At 41.9% G+C, this 16,340-nt stretch overlaps 1 protein-coding gene across 32 annotated transcripts in view; it reads right to left on the bottom strand.

The window, feature by feature from the left end:
- The window catches only part of SHLD2 (shieldin complex subunit 2), a 96,993-nt gene that overhangs the window by 77,269 nt on the left and 3,384 nt on the right, over positions 1-16,340 (bottom strand). Inside the window, exon 3 of one of the 32 annotated variants that reach the window (NR_165106.1) lies at positions 9,235-9,515. The exons of 29 other annotated variants lie outside the window; for them this stretch is intronic. The gene's annotated coding sequence lies outside the window, so the exon portion shown is untranslated. Of the gene's footprint in view, positions 1-9,234; positions 9,516-10,483; positions 10,550-13,576; positions 13,625-16,340 lie in introns of all 32 variants that reach the window. 2 more of the 32 variants (NM_001377168.1, XM_011539877.3) reach the window with 2 other exon arrangements.

The raw sequence follows: 16,340 nt of genomic DNA, 5'->3' as shown, positions 1-16,340 counted from the left end.
AGAATGTTGCTCCAGTTCTCTGGCAACTCATTCTGTGGGTCAGTGGCATTCAACTACTTCAGTACAAAGACAAATATAAGACACAGAAGTTAACTGGGTTAACTAAAGGTTACTAAACCTTTACCAAACCTTACTAAAAGTTACTAATTATTTAATTCCAAAGCAAATACCATAATTTATCTTTTTTTTTTTCAAGACAGTCTCGTTCTGTTGACCATGCTGGAGGGCAGTGGTGTGATCTTGGCTCACTGCAACCTCCACCTCCTGGATTCAAATAATTCTTGTGCCTCAGCCTCCCCAGTAGCTGGGATGACAGGCATGTACCAACACGCCCAGCCAGTTTTTGTTTTTTTAATAGAGATGGGTTTTCACCATGTTGGCCAGGCTGTTCTCGAACTCCTGGCCTCAAGTGATCCACTCGCCTCGGCCTCCCAAAGCCTGGGATTACAGGCTTCAGCCACTGCACTTGGCCTATACTTTTTTTTAATTGACATAGCATACAATTTACCATTTCAAAGTATACAATTCAGTAGTTTTAGTGTATTCACATTTTGCAACCATCTACACTAATTCCAGAACATTTCTATCACCTAAAAAGAACCCCATACCTATTAACAGTCATTCCCAATTGCCTCCCTCCCCATCTCCTAGAAACCATTTATCTCTTTTCTATCTCTATGGATTTCCTGTTCTAAACATTTCATATAAGTGGGATCATACAATATGTGATCTTTCGTGGCTTCTTTCACTCAGCATAATGTTTTTAAGGTTTATCCATGTTGCAGCATGAATCTGTACTTCACTCCTTCTTGTGGCTGAATTGTATGGATGGACCACATACTGGTTTTTGTTTTTGTTTTGTTTTGTTTTTTGAGACAAAGTTTCGCTCTTATTGACCAGGTTGGAGTGCAATGGCATGATCTCGGCTCACTGCAACCTCTACCTCCCAGGTTCAAGCGATTCTCCTGCCTCAGCCTCCCAAGTAGCTGGAATTACAGGCATGAGCCACCATGTTCGGCTAATTTTGTATTTTTAGTAGAGATGGGGTTTCTCCATGTTGGTCAGGTGGTCTTCTACTTCCAACCTCAGGTGATCCACCTGCCTCGGCCTCCCAAAGTGCTGGGATTTCAGGTGTGAGCCACCACACCCGGCTGGACCACATATTGTTTATCCATTCATCAGCTGATCTACATTTAGGTTGTTCCCACTCTTTTACAATTATGAATATTGCTGCTATTAACACTCATGTACAAGTATTTGTATGGACATATGTAGTCATTTCTCTTGGGATGACCTAGGAATGGAACTGCTGTGTCATATGGCAACTGTATGTTTAACTTTTTGAGGAACTGCCAGACTGTTTCCCATAGTATCTGTATCATTTTACATCCCTATCAGTAAGGAACCCTATAAGGGTTCCCATTTCTCCACATCCTCACCAACAGTTGTTGGGGTTTTGTTTTTTGGGTTTTTTTTTTTTTTGAGATTTAAGTTATTATAGTCATTCTAGTGGGTGTGAATTGGTATCTCTATTATTATTATTATTATCATTTATTATTTTAGAGACAGGGTCTTGCTCTGCCGCCCAGGCTGGAGTGCAGTGGCACCATCACTGCTCACTGCAGCCTCGACGGCACAGGCTCAAGCAGATCCTCCCACCTCAGCTTCTCGACTAGCTGGAACTACAGGCACAAACCACCACGCCTATCTCCCTATGTTGCCCAGGCTGGTCTCTAACTTCTGGGCTCAAGTGATCTTCCTGACTTAGTCTCTCAAAGTGCTGGGATTATAGGCAATGAGCCACTACACCTGGCCTCACTGTGATTTTTATTTGCATTTCCCTAATGAATAATGATTTCAACACCTTTTCATGTGTTTATTTCATGTGTTTATTTGGCCATTTGCACATTTTCTTTGGAGACATATCTCTTCAAATTCTTTGCCCTTTTTTTTTTTTTTGAGACGGAGTCTCGCTCTGTCGCCCAGGCTGGAGTGCAGTGGTGCAATCTCCATTCACTGCAACTGCAGCCTCCTGGGTTCAAACCATTCTCCTGCCTCAGCCTCCCGAGTAGCTGGGACTACAGGCACCCGCCACTACACCCAGCTAATTTTTTTCTATTTTTAGTAGAGACGGGGTTTCACCATGTTAGCCAGGATGGTCTCGATCTCCTGACCTCGTGATCCGCCCACCTTGGCCTCCCAAAGTGCTGGGATTACAGGCGTGAGCTACCGCACCTGGCCTGCCCATTGTTTCAATTGGATTATTTGCTTTTTTCTTATGGAGCTGTGATAGTTCTTTACATATTCTAAATACTAGACCCTTAACAGATACACAATTTGCAAATATTTAATCCCGTTCTGTAGGTTGTCTTTTCACTTTCTTAATGATGTCCTTTGAAACATAGAAGTTTTTAATTTTGGCCAGGTGCAGTGGCTCACACCTGTAATCCCAGCACTTTGGGAGGCCAAAGCAGGCAGGTTGCTTGAGCCCAGGAATTCAAGACCAGTCTAGGCAACATGGTGAAACCCCACTTCTTTTTTTTTTTTTTTTTTTTTGAGACAGACTCTTGCCCTGTCAACCAGGCTGGGGTGCAGTGGCATGGTCTCAGCTCACTGCAACCTCCACCTCCCGGACTCAAGAGATTCTCGTGCCTCAGCCTCTCAAGTAGTTGAGATTACAGGCGCGTGCCACCATGCCCAGCTAATTTTTGTATTTGTAGTAGAGAGGGGGTTTCACCATGTTGGCCAGACTGGTCTCGAACTCCTGACCTCAAGTGATCCGTCTACTTCGGCCTCCCAAAGTGTTGGGATTACAGGAGTGAGCACTGTGCCTGGCCCCCATTTCTATAATACAAAAAATACAAAACTTACTGGGATGTGGTGGCACATGCCTACAGTCCCAGCTACTCAGAAGGCTGAGGTGGGAGGACCGCTTGAGTCTAGAGAGGTTGAAACTGCAGTGAGCCATGATGGCGCCACTGTACTCCAGCCTGGGCAACATGATGAGACCCTGTCTCAAAAAAATAAAAACTTTAAAAAAATTTTTAATTTTAAGGGCCAGGCGCAGTGGCTGATGCCTGTAATCCCAGCACGTTGGGAGGCCACAGTGGGCAGATCACGAGGTCAGGAGTTCGAGACCAGCCTGGCCAATATGGTGAAACCCCATCTCTTCTAATAATACAAAAATTAGCCAGGCGTGGTGGTGCGCGCCTGTAGTCCCAGCTACTTGGGAGACTGAGGCAGGAGAATCGCTTGAACCCGGGAGGCAGAGGTTGCAGTGAACCAAGATGGCACCACTGACTCCAGCCTGGGCAACAGAGCAAAACTCCATCTCACCAAAAAAAAAAAATTAATTTTAATAAAGTCCAATTTATCTATTTGTTCTTTTGCACTTTTGGAGTCATATTTAAGAAACCTGCCTGATCCAAGTTCATGAATATTTAAACCTACATTTCCTTCTAAGCGTTTTATAGTTTCAGTTCTTATATTTAGGTCTTTGATCCATTAAAATGATAATTCTTGAAAGCTAAGAATTTCAATCATAAGACCTACAGGCTTAAGAGAAAAGAGAGCTTTTTTTTTTTTTTTTTGAGATGGAGTCTCACATCATCACCCAGGCTGGAGTGCAATGGTGCAATCTCAGCTCACTGCAACCTCTGCCTCCCGGGTTCAAGTGATTCTCCTGCCTCAGCCTCCTGAGTAGCTGGTATTACAGACACCCGCCACCACTTCCGGCTAATTTTTTGTATTTTGAGTAGAGATGGGGTTTCCCTGTTGGCTAGGCTGATCTCGAACTCTTGACCTTGTGATCCGCCCGCCTCGGCCTCCCAAAGTGCTGGGATTACAGGCATGAGCCATTGTGCCTGGCCAAAAGAGAACTTTTTATTTATTTATTTACTTATTTTGAGAGACAGGGTCTCTCTCTTGTTGCCCAGGCTGGAGTGCAGTGGTAGAATCATAGCTCACTGCAGCCTCAACCTCCTGGGCTCATGCGATCCTCCCACCTCAGTCTCCTGAGTAGCTGGGACTACAGGTGTGTGCCAACATGCTCAGCTAATTTTTGTATTTTTTGTAGAGACAGGGTCTCACTATGTTGCCTAGGCTGGTCTCAAACTTCTGGGCTCAAGTGATCTTAACTGTGTCAGCCTCCCAAAGTGCTGGGATTACAGGCATGAGGCTCTGCACCCAGCCAAGATTTAATATTGATACAGAATCTATGAAATCACTTATTCCTTTGTAAAATGTAGTAACATACATTTTGAACTCAAATGTGTGTGTGAGTGTTTATATGTGTGTATATAAAATTAATCCTCAGAACCATACCACTGCACCCGGCCAAGACAGCTTTTTAAATTCTAAAACTGTGATTTTAACTATCACCAACCAAATCAAGAAAACTTTCATGGCAGAATTTGTCATGTAGACTCCAGCACAGAGGAAAGGCAGGTGATGACATAAGTACAGTTCTCTCACACTGATCAAGATGACATAAAAACTTGGGGGAAGAGTTCAAAGAAAAACAAGAGTTAAAAGAAAGAGTGGATGTAAATTTAGAATTTTTGCCTCCTGTCCTATCTGGAGCTAAATCTTATTTGAGGGGCCAGGTGAGGTGGCTCACGCCTGTAATCCCAGCACTCTGGGAGGCCGGGGAGGGTGGATGACCTGAGGCCAGGAGTTCGAGACCAGCCTGGCCAACATGGCGAAACACTGTCTCTACCAAAAACACAAAAAATTAGCTGGGTGTGGTAGAAGCGCCTATAATCCCAGCTACTCGGGAGGCTGAGGCAGGAGAATCGCTTGAATCTAGGAGGCAGAGGCTGCAGTGAGCCGAGATCGAGCCATTGCACTCCAGCCTGAGCAACAAGAATGAAACTGTCTCAAAAAAAAAAAAAAAATCTTATTTGCGGAAGGGTAAGAAAAATCTCCAGTGTTTGTGGGGAAGGACCCAGAATGGGAAATAATTGTGTTTCCCTTTCCCAAGTTATGGTCCAGGGACTGTAGCCATTTAGTAAAACCTTGCACCTAATACAATATCATGCCTTGCTAAAGGCATAATAGCCAATGACATGCCCAAACCATATTCCTGAAAAGCTGCTTTATTAGGGTCCCAAGCATATCAGCACTCACCACTGGGCCAGTATACCCAAAACAGCCTGGGATTAAGGAGGACCCAGCATGCACAGATGTGTTGCCCAGGGGCTACAGTAGTAGCAGGGACATCATCCTCAGAAGTGGCAGAGGCAGACAATCCCATTCAAGACCAAGCCAGTCATTTGCAATGGCTCAGAAGGACAGAGGACAGCACAAAGATAAGATGACTCTCCCTTAATGCCAGGAAAAATTATAAGATTTCTCTACCAATACCATCTACCATAGGGAAAAAAAGGGAAGGGGTGGGCTCTGTGAGGAAACTGAACATTTACCAAAAGGACCAAGTATTTACCAAGGGTTTAGATTAACATGTAATTAATTTAGTTAAGCCAGAAGCTACTGACTTTTTATCCTAAAGTGGCAAGATTGTTTAGCAGGATTGTTCTCTATTACCTAGTAGAAACAGAGCTAAGGAAATTTTAGTTATTTAGAAATGAAGTTGGCCAAGCACAATGGCTCACACCTGTAATCCCAGTACTTTAAAAGGCCGGGGTGGGAGAGTCACTTCAGCCCAGGAGTTGGAGATCAGCCTGGGCAACATAGCAAGACCTCATCTCTAGGCTGGGCATGGTGGCTCAAGCCTGTAATCCCAGCACTTTGGTAGGCCAAGGGGCGGTGGATCACTTGAGGTTAGGGGTTCAAGACCAGCCTGGCCAACACAGCAAAATCCCGTCTCCACTAAAAAATACAAAAATTAGGCTGAACGCAGTGGCTCACGCCTGTAATCCTAGCACTTTGGGAGGCCAAGGAGGGCGGATCACCTGAGGTCCGGAGTTCGAGACCAGCCTGACCAACATGGAGAAACCTCGCCTCTACTAAAAACACAAAATTGGCCTGGTGTGGTGACGCATGCCTGTAATCCCAGCTACTTGGGAGGCTGAGGGAGGAGAATCACTTGAACCTGGGAGGTGAAGGTTGCAGTGAGCCAAGATCACGCCATTGCACTCCTGGATAACAAGAGCGAAACTCCGTCTCAAAAAAGCAAAAAACAAAAATTAGCCAGGTGTGATGATGTGTACCTGCAATTCCAGCTACTTGGGAGGCTGAGGCACGAGAACTGCTTGAAACCAGGAAGCAGAGGTTGCCATGAGCTGAGATTGCACCACTGCACTCCAGCCTGGTGACAGAGTGAGACTGCCTCAAAAAACAAAAAACAAACAAACAAAAAGTCATCTCTAAAAATAAAAAAAAAAGAAAGAAAGAAAGAAAATTACATCTTTGTATATTTAAGTATGTAGTCTACAAAATTTATGCCTACTATACTTCCAATTGGGTTTTCCACTGCACAAAAGGTAAAAATGTAAAGCACTTGCCTATATGATCTGACTGCTTATCCACCTGTCCAAAATCACAACATTCTCCACTAGGACAACCACAGTCACACTGGATTTCTGTCCATTCCTAAAACATGTCAAGGTCTTTTCTGTATCACAGTTTTTCCACACGCCATTTCCTTCACTTAGGATGCCTTTCCCACAGCTCTTTAATAGGTTGCTTCAACTCAGCCTTTAATTTCAGTTTAAATGTTTCTTCTTTTCAAGGCCTTCTCTGAACACCCTATATAAAGTAGGTATTCCCCATTATCCCATAGCACAGCACCATATTATTTTCTTTTTTCTTTTCTTTTTTTTGAGAAGGAGTTTCCCTCTTGTTGCCCAGGCTGGAGTGCAGTGGCAAGACCTCGGCTCACTGCAACCTCTGCCTCCCAGGTTCAAGCAATTCTCCTGCCTCAGCCTCCCCAGTAGCTGGGATTACAAGGGCGCACTACCACGCCCAGCTAAGTTTTTGTAGTTTTAGCAGAGATGGAGTTTCACCATGTTGGCCAGACTAGTCCTGAACTTCTGACCTCTGGTGATCCACCTGCCTCAGCCTCCCAAAGTGCTGGGAATACAGGCATGAGCCACTGCACCTGGCCTTTATCCTACATTTTAAATCTCTTTTTTTTTTTTTTGCCAATTATTGCTTTAGATTAATATCTATAGAAAAAAAATAGTCTCTCTGTGCTTCACTAGTTTTCGATGGCCCTCCAAGAATGCAATCACAAGGATTCCACATTTAATGGGGAAACTGTGGAGGACAGTAACTATGTAAAAGGCACTTTGAATATCCACCCCATGTATCTTCAAAATAGTCTCATCTCAAGCTATCCTTCTGATATATTACTATAACATAGAGAATCCAATGAAACTGTCATTTCTGCCTGTAGGACAACGAAACTTCTAATTTCAACATAAAGGCCAGTTTAGCCCTCTTATTTTAATCCACTTGCCTATGTGTTACATTGATGATAACAAGGTGCTAATGGCAACTTCATCTAAAAGTCTGTTGAAATCATTTAAGCATCTGATATTTCATTATAATCCTCAGATTATCCCCAGAAGTTGAGGATGGATTTCTGTTCTGTCTTCCTGTCTAGTAAGAGAGTAAACACGACAACATGAAAACTACTTCCTTAAAAGCTGTCAATAGTAAAAAGCTGTTCAAAAAACAGAAGGCATAATTTTAAAACTGTTATCATTGTATAAGATCTCAAGGAGAACTAGAATTTGAAGACTGTTTACTGTATACAATATGAAACTGCAAATATCATAATTCCTAGTTTCAAATTTAAGAATGTTCCCCCCCTTTTGTAAATTGCGTTAAAAAAATATATTATCACAGTAAGACAGCAGAGAGCAAGTCAGTTATTTTCTGTGGCAAATATGGCAGACACTGTGAGTTGTCTAACAATTATTCCTTCTGGCCGGGAACAGTGGCTCATGCCTATAATCCCAACACTTTGGGAGGCTGAGGCGGGTGGATCACCTGAGATCAGGAGTTCAAGACCAGCCTGGCCAACATGGTGAAACCCCGTCTCTACTAAAAATACAAAAAATTAGTCAGCCATGGTAGCAGGTGCCTGTAATCCCAGCTACTGGGGAGGCTGAGGCAGGAGAATCACTTGAACCCAGGAGGCGGAGGTTCCAGTGAGCCGAGATCCCACCACTGCACTCCAGCCTGGGCAACAAGAGCAAGACTCCGTCTCAAAACAAACAAACAAACAAAACCAATTATTCCTTTTCTACCTTTCTTCCTGGCTGGCACAGTCTGCCTGTACTTCAGAGGCCAAAAAGTGCCAGTAAGTCTTCCTTGTAGCCTCCCTTACAGCCAGGGCGTGGCATGTAACCAACCCAATCCTAGCTACTGGGGTCTAAGAGAGTTGAAGGTAGCTGGCAGGCCTTTGGAAAAGGTTTCTTCACTAATACCGGGATATGCACAGGAGGAAACTGCTGTTTCTCCATAGAACTTAGTTATGGCTACATGTGACCTCTGGAACTGCTGAAGCCCTTTTAAAACCCTTAGGAAAGATATCACAAACTGGCTGAATGTGTAACAGAGAGAAGAGCAGAGTAGGTATCTGATGGTATCATTGAGTCCTTGGACTGTCAATGGAAAAGCCCTGCCTTCAGACTTCTTGTTAGATAATGTTATCTTGGTTTATGGCTTTCCTTTAAGCCATTTTTATTTGGATATTGCTACTCGAGGGTCAAGGCATCCTAAGGAATCTCTATCTTCTTACTTCAGGTCCAATTTCCTGAGCTGACTCAACATTATCAGCGTCTCTACCTTGTGCCTAGTCCTTCATTGACATGTCTTTCATTAAGAAGCAAGCGCAACATAATTATACTCACATATATGCTTCACCTAAAGTCTGTTTCTTCTGCAACACCTCTAGAATGGTCAAGGAGAAGGTACTTTTTGCTTCTCTGGTGTATTTTTCAGTTATGTCTGTTTTTAACAGCATTATAGATGTGCCCCAATTTTTACCTTACACTTCCCTTCTTATTATCCTCTAACACCATACCGAAATTACAATTGATCTAAAACTTTCAAAACCAAAATGCTCAAGATAGGATAAAGATTTTCTTTTCTAGAGGGTGGTCCACATCATTAAACAGAGCTGAATGGCAAGGCATCTTGAATGATGAACAACTGAATGTGCCATACTTTATATATAAAGAAAACAAAAAACCTGACCTCTATTTTAAAATAAAGATTAAGAGAGGCATAATAAATAACATACAGGTGAGATCAGAATCCTACCTTAGTGGCTGGGTGTGGTGGCTCACACCTATAATCCCAACACTGGGAGGCGGAGGCAGGCGGATCACAAGGTCAGGAGTTCAAGAGCAGCCTGGCCAACATGGTGAAACCTCATCTCTACTGAAAGTACAAAAATTAGGCGGGCGTGGTGGCAGGCACCTGTAATCCCAGCTACTCGGGAGGCTGAAGCAGGAGAATCACTTGAACCCGGGAAGTGGAGGTTGCAGCGAGCCGAGATTGTGCCACTCCTCTCCAGCCTGGGCGACAGAGCAAGACTCCGTCTCAAGAAAAAAAAAAAGAATCCTACCTTAGTACAGTTAATTTGTTAATATATTTTTTAAATTTTTATTTTCATTTTCTTTTTACTTTTTATTTTTTTCCTAATTTAGCTCCCATTTATAAGCACAGTTAATTTTTTTTTTTTTTCTGAGACAGAATCTTGCTGTTGTCACCCAAGCTAGAGTGCAGTGGCGCCATCTCGGCTCACTCCCGGGTTCAAGCGATTCTCCTGCCTCAGCCTCCCAAGTAGCTTGGATTACAGGCACTCGCCATTATGCCTGGCTAATTTTTGTATTTTTGTAGAGATGGGGTTTCACCATGTTGGCCAGGCTGGTCTTGAACTCCTGACCTCAGGTGATCCACCCGCCTCGGCCTCCCAAAGTGCTGGGATTACAGGTGTGAGCCACTGAGCCCAGCCAGCACAATTTTTTTTTTTTTTTCTTTTTTGAGATGGAGTCTTGCTCTGTCATCCAGGCTGGAGTGCAGTGGCACAATCTCGGCTCACTACAACCTCCGCCTCCCGGGTTCAAGCGAGTCTCCTGTCTCAGCCTCCCAAGTAGCTGGGATTACAAGCACCTGCCCGCCATCATGCCCGGCTGATTTTTGTATTTTTGTAGAGACGGGGTTTCACCATGTTGGCCAGGCTGGTCTTGAACTCCTGACCTCAAGTGATCCACCCACCTCAGCCTCCCAAAGTGCTAGGATTACAAGCGTGAGCCACCATGCCCGGCCAGCACAGTGAATTTTTAAGAGACCTCACATGTTTCTTGCATGATAGCTTAAAAGGATAAGATCCTATATTGTTCATGTTTACTCACAACATGAAAGGAACCCTTAACCAAGAGTTGATAAACCTTTGTTGACTGTTACTCAGCAATACAACAAAATGAAGACTTACCCAAACCAGCCATGCAGATGTAACTGCCATTAATTAGGAAAAGGGTTTTTTAAGAGGAAAAAGACTACAAACCCTGAAGATTACAGGTCCTTTTCTTTGACACAGTTTCTGTTATTGTTTTTTGTTAAAGCATGCTCACTAAAAGGAAAAAACATCAAAATTACAACTTCTCTGAAAATCAGTTAGAAACACAAAAGCAAATATTAGAAAGTTTTCCTGAAAACTTTGGCACAAAAGTTTGCAAAACAACTCATGATATACCAAAATGACCAATACTTGAAAAACACATAACTAGGGGATATTCATTTTCAACCAAAGTGCTGTTTAAGCCAAATTGTTGTGATGATCAAATTGCCTTGAACCAAAGCGCATGCCACCCTATATTTTCAAACCATGGTCTCATTTATCTTTAAGCTTTGCCTATGCTGTTTCCATAGTATCCCCACTTCCATCTGGCTGATTAATGAAGTATTAACTAGCACTTGAGAACTAAATCATATTAAAATTAGAAACACCAGGACCTAATAAAAATTTCAAGATTTTTATTTATTTATTTATTAAAAAAAATTTTTTTTTTGAGACGGAATCTCACTCTGTTGCCAGGCTGGAGTGCAGTGGTGAGATCTCGGCTCACTACAACCTCTGCCTCCCGGGTTCAAGTGATTCTCCTGCCTTAGCCTCCTGAGCAGCTGGGACTACAGGCGTGCACCACCACACCTAGCTAATTTTTGTATTTTTAGCAGAGACGGGGTTTCACTATGTTGGCCAGAATGGTCTTGATCTCTTGACCTCGTGATCCGCCCACCTCAGCCTCCCAAAGTGCTGGGATTACAGGAGCGAGCCACCACGCCCAGCCAGATTTTTAGTACCTTGTTTTAAAAGTCCTTGTTTACTCAGAAAAAGTAATCTCTTTAAAAAATAAAAAAAGTCCTTGTTTAAATTTGTGGTGTCTCATGTCTATAATCCCAACACTTTGGGAGGCCAAGGCAGGAGAATCGCATGAGACCAGCCTAGGCAACATAGGGAAACCGTATCTCTTCAAAACAATTTTTAAAAATTTTTTTCTTTTTGTTTTTTGAAATGAAATCTTGCTCTGTCGCCCAGGCTGGAGTTCAGTGGCACGATCTCAGCTCACCGCAACATCCACCTCCTGAATTCAAGCAATTCTCCTGCCTCAGCCTCCTGAGTAGCTGGGATTACAGGCACGCACCACTGCACCTGGCTCATTTTTTGTGTTTTTAGTAGAGACAGGGTTTCACCATGTTGGCCAGGCTGGTCTTGAACTCCCAACCTCAGGTAATCTGCCTGTCTCAGCCTCCCAAAGTGCTAGGATTACAGGCGTGAGCCACTGTGCCCAGCCAACAATTTAAAAATTACCCAGGGTGATGGTTCACCCTTGTAGTCTCAGCTACTTGGGAGGTTGAGGTGGGAAGACCGCTTGGGTCCAGGAGTAAAAAAAAAGAAAACAAAACAAAATTAGCATGATTATTAAATTCTTTCTAAGCCCAAACTTGAAACTTATACATAAATAGGTAAAGTAGTCCCAAGACCAAAAGAGTTGAGAACTGTTCTTTGTAATAGGTTATCTATTACAGCATTGTTATAACCACAAGAGTTTGGAAATAACCTTCATGTCCATCAATAAGAGATTGGTAAAAGTAATTATGGTGCGTCCATGCAATAAAATACTATGCAACATTGAAAACTAATGAGGAGCATTAGGCAAGAAAATGAAATAAAACACATTCAGATTGGAAACAAAAAAAGAAAAACTATCTCTATTTGCAAATGACAGCATCTTGCATATAGAAAATCATACAGAATCCACTAAAGTAAATATCAGAATGAATAAATGAGTTCAGTAAGGTTGAAGCATACAAAAACCGTTCTGTCGCCCAGGCTGGAGTGCAGTGGAACTATCTCGGTTCACTGCAACCTCCACCTCCTGGGTTCAGGTAATTCTCGTACCTCAGCCTCCCCAGTAGCTGGGATTGCAAGCATGCACCACCACAACCAGCTAATTAATTTGTTGTGATTTTGGTAAAGACAAGGTTTCTCTGTGATGGCCAGGCTGATCTGAAACTCCTGGCCTCAAGTTATCCACCCACCTCAGCCTCCCCAAGTGCTAGGATTACAGGCGTGAGCCACCATGCCCAGCCTAAACTATTGTAATTCGATATATTCACAGTGAACAATCTAAAAATGAAGTTAAGAAAACCATTCTGAGCCAGGCGAGGTGGTGCACACCTGTAATCTCAGTTACTCAGGAGGCTGCAGCAGGAGGATGTCTTAAGCCCAGGAGTTCAAGGCCATACTGGGCCACACAGTAAGACCCTATCTCTTAATAAATAAATATTTCTACTTACAATTGCATCAAAAAGAATACTTAGTAATAAATTCAACAAAAAGTACAAAACTTGCTTTGTATTAGTTGATTACACATTTTATTTTGAAATAACAAATATCTTAAATTTTCAAAGGCCAATTCTCCTAAAACATTTAAGCCAAATATACACAAGGGTATAGACTCAAAGTATTACTGCTGCAGCCTTGATTCTCTTGAATTCTATACTTGATTCTAAATTATTCTGGGGCCAGAATATGCTTGCCATTAAGGAAATAATCTTGTTATGCCACAGAATTTCGGGAGTTACCATCTCATATAATTTTTGGGAATTGCTAACTTAGCTTACTTGGTTTTAAGAAGTGCAAAACTTATCCTCTGACAGTGATAAAACAGTCCTGAGAGAAGTTTTAAAAGACCTACATATACAGAAAGATATCCCATGTTAATGAATCAGAAGATGTAATATTGTTAAAATGACACTAATTCCCAAATTGATCTACAGATTCAACATAATCCCTATCAAAATTCCAGCTGACTTCTTTGCAGAAATTGGAAACATGATCCTAATTCATATGGAGATAGAATAACCAATCTTGGAAAAAAAAAATTTGGAAGACTCACATTTCCCAATTTCAAAATTTACTACAAAGCTAGAGTAATCGGCCTGGCACAGTGGCTCATGCCTGTAATCCCAGCACTTTGGGAGGCCGAGGCGGGCGGATCACCTGGGTCAAGGAGTTCGAGATCAGCCTGACTAACATGATAAAACCCCATCTCTACTGAAAATACAAAAATTAGCTGGGCGTAGTGGCACGCACCTGTAATCCCAGCTACTCAGGAGGCTGGAGCAGGAGAATTGCTTGAACCTGGAAGGCAGAGGTTGCAGTGAGCCAAGATCGCGCTATTGCACTCCAGCCTGGGCAACAGAGTGAGACTCCATTTCGAAAAAAAAAAAAAAACTGGCGTAATCAAGACAATGTATACTGATATAAGGATAGACATATGGATGAACTGAACTGGCGTCCAGATATAAACTTTCACATTTAGGTCAATTTATTTTTCATAGAGTGTGAAGACAATTCAATGGGAAAGAAATAGTCTTTTGAGCAAATGAACTGGATAGCCACGTGCAAAAGAATGAAACTGGATCCTTTTCTCGGAAAAAGTAACACAAAATGGATAAAAACCTAAATGTAAAAGCTAAACCTATGAAACTCTTAGAAGAAAACAAAGGAGTAAATCTTCATGAAGTCCAATTAGACAATGATTTCTTACATATGATACCAAAAGCATAAGTATCGAAAGAAAACATTTATAAATTGGACTTCATCAAAATTAAAAACTTTTGTGCTTCAAAGTCACTATGAAAAATGGGAAAATATAACCTAAAGAATGGATGAAAACATTTTCAAATCTGGTAAGGAACTTACATCTAGAACATATTAAAAAAAAACTCTTACAAATCAATAATAAAAGACAACCTGACTTAAAAATGGGCAAAGGATCTGAATAGACATTTCTCCAAATAAGACATAAAAATGGTCCATAAGCACATGAAAGATGCTAAATTTTATTAGTCATCAAGGAACTGCAAATAAATACTTCATACCCACTAGGATGATTATAATAAAAAACACACATAACAAGTGTTGGTGAAGAAGTAGAGAAATTGGAACCTTCATTCACTGCTGGTAAGAATTAAAATGGTGTAGCCACTGTGGAAAAGTTTGGCAGTACCTCAAAAATTTAAATATGGAAGTACCATTCCTAGGTATAAACGCACCCAAGAGAACTGAAAACATATGCACACACAAAAGTTCACCGCAGCATCATTCAGAATAGTCAAAAAGTGGAAATAATCCAAGTGTCCATCAATGATGAATAGATTTTTAAAATGTGGTACAGTCATACAACAAAAACTATGTAGCCATAACAAGAAATGAAGTACCTGATACATGCTACACGCATAAACCTTTAAAATACTCTGCCAAGTGAAAGAAGACGGTCACAAAGGGCCACATACATCTTTTATAGGAAAAGTCCAGAATAGACTGATTTAGTGAGACAGAAAGTAGAAAGTATATTTTTACCTTTCAAATTAAATTATTTTTAAAAATGAATGGTTCAAGAATTTATATGCTATGTTTTTCTAAATCCTAACAATCTTCTTCTAAAATATTTTTAAGAGAGAAAAAAGCATGCTATGGATCAAGAAAAACAGACCTGGAATTTTAAACCAGCTAAGGAAAACTCTAAGGCAGAAAACTCATTTGACTTTGTGGAATGCTATTGAATGTTCCCTTCAAGCTGAATTTTGGTCTTCGTTTGAATGGGAAATTACTACAAATAATTAAACTTTATTGTGTGAGGCATGGTGGCTCACACTTGGAATCCCAGCACTGTGGGAGGCAGAGGCGGGCATATCGCTTGAGCCCAGGAGTTCGAGACCAGCCTGGGCAACATAGTGAAACCCCACCTCTACCAAAAAGACAAAAGTTAGCCGGGAGTGGCGGCAGGTGCCTATAGTCCTAGCTACTCAGGAGGCTGAGGTGGGAGGATTGCCTGAGCCCAGGAAGTCCAGGCTGTGGTAAACTGTGATCGTGCCACCGCACTCCAGCCTGGGTGACACAGTGAGACCCTGTCTCGAAAAATAAAAATAAAAAAAAACCTTACTTTGCAAATTATCTGTATATTTTACAAAAGCAATCATAAATCTAAAGTTGAAATTCATTAGACTTTATATCACAGTAAATAATTTCTAACTAAATGGAACAAATACTTAAAATACTCCTTGGAATAGTATAAATAGTATAACTTTGGAGTCAGATACACAGGTTTGAATCTTACCCTATTTACAAGCTTGGTGATCATCAACAATTTGTTTGGTTTCTGTGGGCCTCACTCCCTGTTTTTTTTTTTTTTTTTGAGATGGAGTTTCATTCTTGTTACCCAGGCTGGAGTGCAATGGCGCAATCTCAGCTCACTGAAACCTCCGCCTCCCAGGTTCAAGCAATTCTCCTGCCTCAGCCTCCTGAGTAGCTGGGATTACAGGGATTCACCATCACACCAGGCTAATTTTGTATTTTTAGTACAGATGGGGTTTCTCCATGTTGGTCAGGCTGGTCTCGAACTCCCAACCTCAGGTGATCCGCCCGCCTCAGCCTCCCAAAGTGCTGGGATTACAGGTATGAGCCACCACGCCCAGCCACTCCCTGCTTCTAATAAATCAGGAATTATAATACCTACAGTGTGAAAAGAAATACTCCAAATATTCACTAAATGGGGGAAGAGATGGATAATTTCATTCTGTTTTTCTAAAATCTATTTCTGCTGTTCATATTTTTTTAACAACTTGTATGTAATTTTAAAACATAATGACCAGGTGCAGTGGCTCAACACCTGTAATCCCAGCACTTTCGGTGGCCAAGGCGGGCAGATCATTTGAGGCCAGGAGTTTGAGAACAGCCTGGCCAACACTGTGGAACTTCGTCTCTATTAAAAATACAAAAAAATTAGCCTGGCATGGTGGCGGGCGCCTGTAATCCCAGCTGCTCGGGAGGCTGAGGCAGGAGAATCACTGGA

The sequence above is a fragment of the Homo sapiens genome, chromosome 10 (assembly GCF_000001405.40).
Source record: "Homo sapiens chromosome 10, GRCh38.p14 Primary Assembly".
In the NCBI taxonomy this organism is placed as follows: domain Eukaryota; kingdom Metazoa; phylum Chordata; class Mammalia; order Primates; family Hominidae; genus Homo; species Homo sapiens.
This window is presented reverse-complemented; position numbering and strand designations above follow the sequence as displayed.